This window comes from Homo sapiens, chromosome X, assembly GCF_000001405.40.
Source record: "Homo sapiens chromosome X, GRCh38.p14 Primary Assembly".
Lineage (NCBI taxonomy): Eukaryota > Metazoa > Chordata > Mammalia > Primates > Hominidae > Homo > Homo sapiens.
Genome location: NC_000023.11, coordinates 3301972 through 3315307, shown reverse-complemented (window position 1 = coordinate 3315307; position 13336 = coordinate 3301972). Strand labels below are relative to the sequence as shown.

The window sequence follows — 13336 nt, the reverse complement described above, 5'->3', positions numbered from 1 at the left end:
TTTCTGTCTATCCATCCATCATCTATGGCAGTGGTTTGCAACCAGGCATCAGGTGTTCCTTAGTCCCCAAGGGACAGTTGGTGATGTATGGAGACATTTTAGGTCATGATGACTCTGGGGTGGAGGGTGTGCTTCTGGTATATGGTGGCTGCAGCCCCGGGATGCTGCTCAACACCCTACAGTGCACAGGACACCCCACCCCAGATTAGCATTCATCTTGCCTTAAATGTTACTACGGCTGAGGTCAAGTAACCCTGTCTTAGCATGTAAGATTTTGCCTATCCATTTACCTATCTATTTATCCATTCATTCATTCCTGTATACTTAACCTATCCATCCATCTTTATCTCTTATGTATCTATTCATTCATGCATCCACCCATATCTATCTATCTATCTATCTATCTATCTATCTATCTATCTATCTGCCTACCTACCTGTCTATGGCAGTTGTTTACAACCAAGGAGATTTTATTCCAAGGAGATATTTGGCTATGTCTGGCAACATTTTTTTGGTTGTCACAAATGGGATGAATGTTACTGGCATCTGGTGGGTGGAGCCCGGAGATGCTGCTCAACACCCTACAGTGCACAGGACAGACCCACCACAGAGAATCCTCCATCCAGCCTTAAATGTCCCTAGTACTGAAGCCAAGAAACCCTATCTTAGTATGAAAATGTTGGTCTATCTATATACCTGCTTATCCATCCATCCATGTCTATCTACCTAACCTATCCATCCATTCATTCTTATCTCTTACGTATCCATCTATTCATCCATCCATCCATCTATCCATCCATTTATCCATCCGTATCTATCTGTCTATCTGTCTACTCATCTATCTAGCTAGCTAGCTATGGCAGTTGTTTGCAACCAAGGAGATTTTACTCCCAGGAGACATTTGGCTGTGTCTGGCAACATTTTGTGGTTATCACAGATGGGATGGATGCTACTGGCACCTGGTGGGTGGAGTCCGGGGACACTGCTCAACACCCTACAGTTCACAGGATGGCCCCATCACAGAGAATCTTCTAGCCCCAAATGTCCCTAGTGCCAAGATTGAGAAACCCTGAGCTAGATACAAAAAAAGAGCTAATATCTCTTTAATAAGCGTTTCAAAAAATAGAGGACCCAGATAGTAGAGGAAAGGTAAAATGGAGTCCAACTAAATTCACAGTGCAATGGTGGAGAACCCCTGGATTGTGCTGTCTTCAGCACTCAGTAGCTCGAGCAGGAAAGCCTCTTACCGTGGGTCCCTCCCCAGGGTAGGAGCAAAATCAGCGTCCAAGGTTTTCTTCTGCACAGTTGTGTCTGGCCTCCCAGGACTCTTTTCAATTCAGGAAAAGGGCTGAGATGCCTTTTCCCTGCCTGTATTTTATACTTTAGATGGCTGGGTGGTGCCCTGAAGAGCTTGCACAATCAATCCAGAAGAGCCATGTACCCAATTTACCCAGGAATGCCTTCCAGCTTAGCAGATGTGCTGCCACATAGAGAACTGCTTTCCATTGAATTTGGCATGGTGGAGGCAATTTTGAATGGATAACAGTATAAGAATGCAGTTCCAGTAAGATTTTTGGGTCATTCCATTAATGTCTCCATATAAATCCTAAATAAATTATAAACCATTATTTCTGTCACTTCATTCTTAGTAAATTCTGACTATATTCTTAGTAAAGTGTAATTGAACAAACCATGTGCATTTTGTCAAAGAGCAGGCTCTGCCCTGCTATTTAAAAATACAAATATTGAGCCAGGCGCAGTGGCTCACACCTGTAATCCCAGCACTTTGGGAGGCCGAGGTGGGTGGATTGCTTGAGGTCAGGAGTTCAAGACCAGCCTGACCAATATGGTGAAACCCCGTCTCTACTCAAAATACAAAAATTAGCAGGGCGTGGTGGCCTATGCCTGTAGACCCAGCTACTCGGAAGGCTGAGGCAGGAGAATCATTTGAACCTGGGAGGCGGAGGTTGCAGTGAGCGGAGATCAGGCCGCTGCACTCCAGCCTGGGTGACAGAGCGAGACTCCATCTCAAAAAACAAAAACAAAAACAAATATCAGAGCTTCGTTTCTTGAAGCTGAATCTCTCACGATGCACAGGCATCTGTGGCTTTGAGATTTGCTCAGTTGATTCTGATGACAACTGGGCTAGGGGTCACTGTTAATGGAAGCCTCAGAATGTTTACAGACACATGCTACCATACTCATTTTTGGATTCAAATTCCAAGGCACATTTAAATGTCCTTGCCTGTCCCACACCTGTTAAATTCCTTACCAAGTTACATTGACTTGATTCTCACTCATGGCCCACAAAACAGTGTATATGGTCATTGTTAATCATTGCTTTTATTACAATGATTAGGTTGAATGTAATCACAACTGGGCTTATTTTAAAAGATCTATGACAGTGTCTTAGACATGCCATTAGAAAAATGGAGTCTTGCCAGGTATGGTGGCTCATGCCTGTAATCCCAGCACTTTGGGAGACCAAGGCAGAAGGATCACTTAAGTCCAGGAGTTCAAACTCAGTCTGGACAACATAGCAAGATCCCTTCTCTACAAAATAAAAAATAAAAAAAACTCCATCCAGGCATATTGGTGTATTGTTGTAGTCCAAGCTACTCAGGAGGCTGAGATGGAAGTGTCCCTTGAGTCCAAGAGATCGAGACTACAGTTAGCTATGATTGCACCACTGCACTCCAGCCTGGGTGACAAACAAGATCTCAGTTCTTAAAAAAAAAAAAAAAAAAGAAAGTGTGGTATTTAGGAAATATTAAGGCTCCCATTATAATGTATGTGTAATTGAGAATTCAATAGGGACAACTTTAAAAGTGAGAACTTTCTCAATCTTTTCACTGGATTATTCAACATATTAGTTCCGAATAACTAAAGGATACTTCAGTATTTATAAAACTCTTACATACATAATGAAGATTTTCCTATCATCCTTTCTAGTTTGCCTCTGTTAAACCTTTTTGTAATTATTAACTCGGCAGTGCTTGGACTTCATGGGGAAGAATGACACACCAGCCTTGAGGTTTTAGCTAGTGAGTGTTATTCAGCTTTAATTACAAATTCTAGAAAACCTGTTACACCAATAGGGCCAGCTTCTGAAGATCCCAATTTTAGCCTTAAAACTCACCTTGAAACTCTGGGCATAACCATAATTACATGACCTTATTAGAGTTGCTTTTCTGACTCTTGCCCAAAACTGGGATACAACAGCTTTAAAAAAAGAAATTGCCAAGAGTAGAAACCGTGTCTAAAGCATTTTCTCCAGGAAGAATTTAACATCTTTATAAGGTTGACCCAGATTCTTCACCATCTCCATGACTGTAGCATTTTATCTGATTTTGTTGTTACAATGACCTCTGTAATGACCACCATGCAAATACTTGATCCACACACACTTGCAGGAATGGGATTGACGTCTTTGACTACATTTCATGTCCTTGAACCCATGGTCAGGCCAGCCTAACATCAGATTCAACAGGGAGTTCTTATTTGCAGTCAATCACTTTCCACAACCTTCTCCAGGCTGTAAAAACCACTGGGCATTCTGCAATAGCAGCCACCTGAGCTGATGCATCACAGAAACACCTATTTTTGTGTTATTCCAGCGACCTAATGCCACACTAGAGCATTTGGGAAACTGACATCTTACTCCTTTTTCTTTTTTTCTGTAGTTTTGATAGCAGAATCAAGGTGTTTGCCAATGGGACCCTGGTGGTGAAATCAGTGACGGACAAAGATGCCGGAGATTACCTGTGCGTAGCTCGAAATAAGGTTGGTGATGACTACGTGGTGCTCAAAGTGGATGTGGTGATGAAACCGGCCAAGATTGAACACAAGGAGGAGAACGACCACAAAGTCTTCTACGGGGGTGACCTGAAAGTGGACTGTGTGGCCACCGGGCTTCCCAATCCCGAGATCTCCTGGAGCCTCCCAGACGGGAGTCTGGTGAACTCCTTCATGCAGTCGGATGACAGCGGTGGACGCACCAAGCGCTATGTCGTCTTCAACAATGGGACACTCTACTTTAACGAAGTGGGGATGAGGGAGGAAGGAGACTACACCTGCTTTGCTGAAAATCAGGTCGGGAAGGACGAGATGAGAGTCAGAGTCAAGGTGGTGACAGCGCCCGCCACCATCCGGAACAAGACTTACTTGGCGGTTCAGGTGCCCTATGGAGACGTGGTCACTGTAGCCTGTGAGGCCAAAGGAGAACCCATGCCCAAGGTGACTTGGTTGTCCCCAACCAACAAGGTGATCCCCACCTCCTCTGAGAAGTATCAGATATACCAAGATGGCACTCTCCTTATTCAGAAAGCCCAGCGTTCTGACAGCGGCAACTACACCTGCTTGGTCAGGAACAGCGCGGGAGAGGATAGGAAGACGGTGTGGATTCACGTCAACGTCCAGCCACCCAAGATCAACGGTAACCCCAACCCCATCACCACTGTGCGGGAGATAGCAGCCGGGGGCAGTCGGAAACTGATTGACTGCAAAGCTGAAGGCATCCCCACCCCGAGGGTGTTATGGGCTTTTCCCGAGGGTGTGGTTCTGCCAGCTCCATACTATGGAAACCGGATCACTGTCCATGGCAACGGTTCCCTGGACATCAGGAGTTTGAGGAAGAGCGACTCCGTCCAGCTGGTATGCATGGCACGCAACGAGGGAGGGGAGGCCAGGTTGATCCTGCAGCTCACTGTCCTGGAGCCCATGGAGAAACCCATCTTCCACGACCCGATCAGCGAGAAGATCACGGCCATGGCGGGCCACACCATCAGCCTCAACTGCTCTGCCGCGGGGACCCCGACACCCAGCCTGGTGTGGGTCCTTCCCAATGGCACCGATCTGCAGAGTGGACAGCAGCTGCAGCGCTTCTACCACAAGGCTGACGGCATGCTACACATTAGCGGTCTCTCCTCGGTGGACGCCGGGGCCTACCGCTGCGTGGCCCGCAATGCCGCTGGCCACACGGAGAGGCTGGTCTCCCTGAAGGTGGGACTGAAGCCAGAAGCAAACAAGCAGTATCATAACCTGGTCAGCATCATCAATGGTGAGACCCTGAAGCTCCCCTGCACCCCTCCCGGGGCTGGGCAGGGACGTTTCTCCTGGACGCTCCCCAATGGCATGCATCTGGAGGGCCCCCAAACCCTGGGACGCGTTTCTCTTCTGGACAATGGCACCCTCACGGTTCGTGAGGCCTCGGTGTTTGACAGGGGTACCTATGTATGCAGGATGGAGACGGAGTACGGCCCTTCGGTCACCAGCATCCCCGTGATTGTGATCGCCTATCCTCCCCGGATCACCAGCGAGCCCACCCCGGTCATCTACACCCGGCCCGGGAACACCGTGAAACTGAACTGCATGGCTATGGGGATTCCCAAAGCTGACATCACGTGGGAGTTACCGGATAAGTCGCATCTGAAGGCAGGGGTTCAGGCTCGTCTGTATGGAAACAGATTTCTTCACCCCCAGGGATCACTGACCATCCAGCATGCCACACAGAGAGATGCCGGCTTCTACAAGTGCATGGCAAAAAACATTCTCGGCAGTGACTCCAAAACAACTTACATCCACGTCTTCTGAAATGTGGATTCCAGAATGATTGCTTAGGAACTGACAACAAAGCGGGGTTTGTAAGGGAAGCCAGGTTGGGGAATAGGAGCTCTTAAATAATGTGTCACAGTGCATGGTGGCCTCTGGTGGGTTTCAAGTTGAGGTTGATCTTGATCTACAATTGTTGGGAAAAGGAAGCAATGCAGACACGAGAAGGAGGGCTCAGCCTTGCTGAGACACTTTCTTTTGTGTTTACATCATGCCAGGGGCTTCATTCAGGGTGTCTGTGCTCTGACTGCAATTTTTCTTTTTTTGCAAATGCCACTCGACTGCCTTCATAAGCGTCCATAGGATATCTGAGGAACATTCATCAAAAATAAGCCATAGACATGAACAACACCTCACTACCCCATTGAAGACGCATCACCTAGTTAACCTGCTGCAGTTTTTACATGATAGACTTTGTTCCAGATTGACAAGTCATCTTTCAGTTATTTCCTCTGTCACTTCAAAACTCCAGCTTGCCCAATAAGGATTTAGAACCAGAGTGACTGATATATATATATATTTTAATTCAGAGTTACATACATACAGCTACCATTTTATATGAAAAAAGAAAAACATTTCTTCCTGGAACTCACTTTTTATATAATGTTTTATATATATATTTTTTCCTTTCAAATCAGACGATGAGACTAGAAGGAGAAATACTTTCTGTCTTATTAAAATTAATAAATTATTGGTCTTTACAAGACTTGGATACATTACAGCAGACATGGAAATATAATTTTAAAAAATTTCTCTCCAACCTCCTTCAAATTCAGTCACCACTGTTATATTACCTTCTCCAGGAACCCTCCAGTGGGGAAGGCTGCGATATTAGATTTCCTTGTATGCAAAGTTTTTGTTGAAAGCTGTGCTCAGAGGAGGTGAGAGGAGAGGAAGGAGAAAACTGCATCATAACTTTACAGAATTGAATCTAGAGTCTTCCCCGAAAAGCCCAGAAACTTCTCTGCAGTATCTGGCTTGTCCATCTGGTCTAAGGTGGCTGCTTCTTCCCCAGCCATGAGTCAGTTTGTGCCCATGAATAATACACGACCTGTTATTTCCATGACTGCTTTACTGTATTTTTAAGGTCAATATACTGTACATTTGATAATAAAATAATATTCTCCCAAAAACCGGGCAGTGATGACAATGCTATTTTCAAGGACAAAAGAGGGTCTCATGAATCTGGGTTTCCATCAGAGCAGTTGAAAAAACTGCTTTCATTCACTTTCTCTCAATGATTAGCTTCTCTACACATTTTTAACAGGCAAGGAAACTGAGTCAAAGGCAATGCTTCTGATGACAGATTTGGCAGGCAGGGTTTGAGTGTCACTTGCATGTAGTGACAATTTCAGTATGCAGCAAGACAGTGTGGGGACTGAGAAGCAGTGCTCTAGGAAATCCTTCAGGATTTTTCTTTTTTAATTTTTGTCAAAGTGACATCTGGAAATACATGTACTGGTGTTCCACAAATATGCAAAACTGTCCTTCTTTTGCTTCCCCTGAGAGGAAGGAAAAAGGCAAACAAGATAAACATTTGGGAAAAATATGACTGTCAGCATTTCAAGAAATGCACTGTCGCCAATTGTTAAAGAATGTTGGTCATTGAAACTAAAGAATGCAGTTTTTTTTTTAACTCTGTGGGAGGCATAGAGCCTGTCTCTCATTCATGAATCCACTTATTTGCTTAAATATGTCTGCACAGCCCTTACTGTGTGCTGGATATCAAGAGAGGCCTGTGGAGGCAAAGAGGTGGAGGAGGAGGTGGTGCTTGGAGTGTTTATCCTCAATAGACAGGCTCTTCAGATGGTGCAGGGTCTCTCAAAATGCACATGAATGACATTTGGGGCTGGATGATTCTCTGGGCTGGGGTGTCCTGTGTAGGGTGTTGAGTAGCATCCCTGGGCTCTACCCGCCAGATACTAGTACCCTCCCACCCCCTCAAAATTGTGATGACCAAAAATGTCTCTGGACATTGCCAAATGCCCCTTTAGGGGGTGCAAACTTGCTCCTAGCTGAGAGCCACTGACATAAACGATAAATTAGATTGGTAGATAGATAACTGACAGATGATTGATATAGATAGATAAGTGATAGATAGATGGTAGATAGATGACAGATAGATAAATGATTGATAGATATAAAGTGATAGATGATAGGTTGATAATAGATATGGATAGGAGACATAAATAGATAAGGATTGATACAGATAGATGATTTATAGATATAAATAGATAATAGATATGGAAAGGAGTAAGATAGGTAGATAGATAATAGATGGTTGGATGGATGATAGATAGATAAATGATGGATGGTTGGATGGATGATAGATACACAGATAGATAAAGGATGGATAGTTGGGTGGATGATACATAGGTATATAGATAAATAGATGATGGATGTTTGGATGAATTATAGATAGATGACAGATAATAAATGGTTGAATGGATGATCAATAGATGGATAGATACGTAGACTGATGATAGATGATTGGGTGAATTAGATAGGTAATTGGGTAGATGACAGAGGGGTAGATAGAAAAATAGATGATGGCTGGTTGGATGGGTGATAGATGGATGGATAATAGATAGATAGATAGATAGATAGATAGATAGATAGATAGATAGATAGATACATAGATACATAGATACATAGATAGATACATAGATAGATAGATACATAGATAGATACATAGATATAGATAGATGATAGATAGATAGATAGATAGATAGATACATAGATAGATAGATGATAGATAGATGATAGATAGATATAGATAGATGATAGATAGATAGATAGATATAGATGATAGATAGATAGATAGATAGATAGATAGATAGATAGATAGATAGATAGATGATAGATAGATAGATAGATGATGGATGACTGGATGGGTAATAGAGTTTCTCATGCTGAGGATTTCTCAGCCTCAGCACTATGGACATCTGGGGCTGGAGAATTCTCTGTGGTGGGACCGTCCTGTGCACTGTAGGGTGTTGAGCAGCATCCCTGGGCTCCACCCACCAGATGCCAGGAGCATCCACCACCCCAGTGTGATAATCAAAAATGTCTCTAGACATAGCCACATTCTCCCCATGAGGCTGTACCGTCCCTGGTTGGAAAACACCGTGCTAGATAAATACATGCAGCAAAGGGTTTTAGAAACACGTTCATTTGGACAGCCTGCTTCAGCGCATGATGTGGAAACTGAGATCTGGGGAGGTAAATTCTCCTAGGTGTAGATAATGTTTCTGCAGGACATACCTTGGTGCAATTTTACCTGGAAAAAAATGGTAACATCCTCTCAACACAAACTTCTGCGTTCACATGACGTGATGGGCTGAAGAGGCGTTTGAAAACATTAAAAGTGGTTCAGAGGGCATTCAGATTCTAGAGGATTAAAAAACCAGGTGGGATTGTAGTCCCATTAAGAAAGAGCTACATTTTGATGACTGAGATAACATTTTTACGGAGTCAAGAATAGAAGAATGGCTGGGCAGAATGATATGGACAAATGGGAGGACGTGTTCTCCCGGCGGCAAAAACATCATGAAGAAAGTTTGAGCCTCAAGCAAGGAGACCTTGGATCTAGTGATAGATAAAACGTAATAGTGGTGCAGGCCCATAGTCACAGCTACTCAAGAGGCTGAGGTAGGAGGATCACTTGAGCCCAAGAGTTTGAGGCTGCTGTGAGCTATGATCACACCACTGCACTACAGCCTGGGTGATAAAGAGACCCTGTTTCTGAACATTAAAAAGTAATAATTTTTTAAAAATAATAGACATATTTGGACTAGAGTCTAAAATGTGTTTCATTTGGGGTTGAACGTGGTAGGATATTGTAATTGGTTGGATAACATTCTGCAAAAGAATCATCTCTACCTGGAACCTGTCAGTGCAACCTTATTTGGAAAAAGAGTCTGCAGATGTGATCACGTGAAGGATCTGGAAATGAGATTATTCTGGATAAGGATGGGTCCTAAATGCAATAAGTGTCACTATAAGAGACAGATAAGGGGACACAGACACAGAGGGGGAGGTCACGTGGAGACAGAGGCAGAGACTGGAGTAACATGGCCACAAGCCCAGGGATTCTTGGAGTCCCCAGGAGCTGGAAGAGGCAGGAAGGATCCTCCCCTAGAACATCCAGAGGGAACTGCATACAATTGTAGTGTATTGAGCAGTGGCCCCCAAAATATATGCCCATATTCTGACTCCCAGAACTGGGAAATGGGACCTTATTTGGGAAATAGGGTCTTTGCAGGTGTAATTAAGGTAAAGCTCTTGAGATGAGATCATCCTGGATTAGATGGGCCTTAAATCCAATGACAGGTGTCTGTTTAAGAGACAAAAGAGGAGGCACAGACACAGGAGAAGGCCACGTGGAGATGGAGGCAGAGACTACAGTGATGCCCAGGGATGCCTGGAGCCACCAGGAGCTGGGAGAGGCAGGAAGGAGCCTCCTCTAGAGCCTCCAGAGGGAGCATGGCCCTGAGACACCTTGATCTCAGACTTCTGGTCTCCAGAGCTGGGAGAGAGTTCATTTCTTTTAAGCCCCTATTTTGAGGTGATTGGTTACAGACGCCCTAAGAAATAAATGCAAATATTTAAAATTTTCTTGTAGGGATGGTTATAATGAGAGGTACTTAGCACCTCATGACTTAGGTAAAATAAGAGCCATTTAAACCAGTTTGTCCAGAACACGAAGGTGTGTGATTTGAGCGGATCATTAAACAGAATCACATATGGCTGTATCATTATTTGTAAATACTATAATAACTAGAAGATAGTTGTTGTTTTTCTCCCTAAATGGATAAGTTCTAACATCTGGTATATGTGCTTGTAAATCTGTGGACACAAGCAAAATCCCTAGCTAACAGTCCATTGTCACCATTTAATTACTCTCAGGCCCTCACAGAAAAACAAAACTTCAACCAGGCTCTAGTCCTTGAAGTCTGGTTTGTAATTGTAAAGGCAGCTCTTGTTTCAATGAAGCTTGGCTGAATGTGGGACAAGGTGAGGAAGACCCCAACCCTGCTGCTGAATTCAATCTGCAAGACACTGAACCCCACAAGATCCTTTTCTGCACTTTTGTCATTTAAGACTCAAGTCTCACCTGTAATCCCAGAACCTTGGGAGACCAAGGCCTGCAGATCGCTTGAGTCCAGGAGTTCAAGACCAGCCTGGGAAAAATAGCAAGATCCCATCTCTACAGAGAATACAGAAATTAGCTGGGCATGGTGGTGCACACCTGTAGTCCCAACTACTCTGGAGACTGAGGTAGGAGAATCACTTGAGCCTGAGAGGTTGAGGCTGTAGTAAGCCAAGATCGCACCACTGCACTCCAGCCTGGGTGACAGAGCAAGACGGTCTCCAAAAATAAGAAAAGGATCCAAGTCTTTTGGAGGTGGAAGTTCAGTAACAGATTAATGATGAAACTAAGAGGAGTAGTGTTAGTGAGTTCCTGGATGGCCAGCACAAACTGACTCTGTTTTGGAAAAAAAAACAAACGTTGGTTTACCTTCATCCTGAGAGGCTGTTCAGCTTCCTTTTTAGCAGCATTTTTTGTGTGTGTGTTCTAACCTTGTTAGAACACAAGAAACCTTTGGCTCTTGTTGGCTTTATGTTATCATCTCCTGGATTGATTTAAACATCCTCATGTCCAAGTGTCTTCATTTCCTGGGACTGAGATTGCAAATGACCACAGAACTGGTGGCTTAAAACAACAGGAATTGATTATCTCACAGTTCTGGAGACCAGCAGTCTGAGGTCAAAGTGTGGGCAGAGCTGCACTCCTTCTGAAGGTTCTAGGGGAGGATCCTTCCTGCCTCTCCCAGCTCCTGGAGGCTCCAGGAATCCCTAGGCTTGAGGCCGCATCAATTCACTGTCTGCCTCCATCTCCGTGTGGCCTACTCCTCTCCGTGTCTCCTGTTCTGTATCTTAGAAGGACACCTGTCATTTGATCTAGGGCCACACTAATCCAGGATGATCTCTTCTTGAGATCCTTGATTTAAGTATACCTGCAAAGCCTTTATTTCCAAATAAGGTTCCATTGACAGGTTCTGGGGTTAGGATGTGGACATATCTTTTTGGGAGACTATGGTTCAATCCATTTGTATCCAGTTCCTTCTGGAGGCTTTAAGGGAGGATCCTTCCTGCCTCTCCCAGCTCCTGTGGGCTCCAAGCATCCTTGGGCTTGTAGCCACATCACTCCAGTCTCTGCCTCCATCTCCATGTGGCCTTCTCCTCTATGTCTCTTCTTCTGTCTCTCTCTCTCTCTCTTTTTTTTTTTTTTTTTTTTTTGAGACGGAGTTTCGCTCTGGTTGCCCAGGCTGCAGTGCAGTGGCGCAATTTCTGTTCACTACAACCTCCACCTCCCAGGTTCAGGCGATTCTCCTGCCTCAGCCTCCCAGTCCTCTGTCTCTTATAAGGACATGTGTCCATAGATTTAGGGCTCATCTAATCCAGGATGATCTCATTTTGAGATACTTAAGTCAGTTATATCTTATCTAAATAAGTTCACATTTATAAGTTCCAGAGGTTATGACATAGACATGTCTTTGGGGGCCACCATTCCACCTGTTACACCAGACTCTGACCTACAAATCAGAATCTCTCAGTGAGAAGCCTGGGTGAGTACAAAGTGCAGCAAGAATGTGATGAGGAAGTGGCATCTTTAGCACTGGAACTCATTTGTTCCTGAAGTGGTCTGGCAAAACTATACTGTGATCCATCACATATTTCTTATAATTTAACCCTCTATGGGGCAACCTATTGTGCTAATTTGTGCCACATTGTGTGGTGCCTCCCCCCATGAAGACATTAGAACCTTGGTGTGGTGTTGAAATTCTGCATGCTTCTGTTTTCAAATTTGTGGAAAAGAGGAAACTTATAGGACACTTACCTCATAAGGTCATTGTGAAAATAGAAGATGAGATTCTTAGAACAAATCCTGTCCAATCACAAGTACTCAGTATATGTTGGTTATTTTCATATTTATTGCTGTCATTTCTCCAGTACTTTGAAGAGCAATGGTTTCCAAAGTGCGTTCAAGTTAAGCATCACAAGCACTCTTGGGAGAGTTGAATTCTGAAGAAGCATGCTTAGATATGACCACTGTAATAGTGTAGGATAGGAGCACTGGTATAGGTCCAATCCTACACCATCCAACTTCAGCTGCAGCTTATGCATCCTAAGCCATGTAGCAGAACCAAAACTAGAAACCAAAACTAGAACCAACGTGTGTGCTGTGCTGTGTTGTGCCTAACCACGGAGCTTTGGGAAAACATGGCCGATCAAACAAGGTTTTGAGTGGATGGGACACTTGGGAAAACATGGCCAACTAAACAAGGCTTTGAGTGGATGAGGAGCCTTGGAAAAGCATGGCCGATCAACAAGGCTTTGGGTGGATGGAAAGTCTTGGGAAAACATAGCTGATCAAACAAGGCTTTGGGTGGATGGGAGCCTTGGGAAAACATGGTTAATCAAACAAGGCTTTGAGAGGATGAAAAGCCTTGGGAAAACATGGCCAATCAAACAAAGCTTTGAGTGGATTAGGAGCCTTGGAAAAACACGGTCCCTGAAACAAAGCTTTGAGTGAATGAAGAGCCTTGGGAAAACATGGCCAATCAAACAAGGCTTTGGGTGGATAGGGAGCTTTGGGAAAACATGGCTGACCAAATAAGATTTCAAGTGAATGAGACACAAGCTTGAATTTAGGTCCTGT

At 44.1% G+C, this 13336-nt stretch overlaps 1 protein-coding gene across 1 annotated transcript in view; it reads left to right on the top strand.

Moving 5' to 3' along the window:
* MXRA5 (matrix remodeling associated 5) overlaps positions 1-6743 on the top strand; it is a 38088-nt gene extending 31345 nt beyond the window's left edge. The window contains exon 7 of the mRNA NM_015419.4: positions 3684-6743. Within this exon, the coding sequence (NP_056234.2) occupies positions 3684-5592 (1909 nt within the window). The 3' untranslated portion in view covers positions 5593-6743. The remainder of the gene's footprint in view (positions 1-3683) is intronic.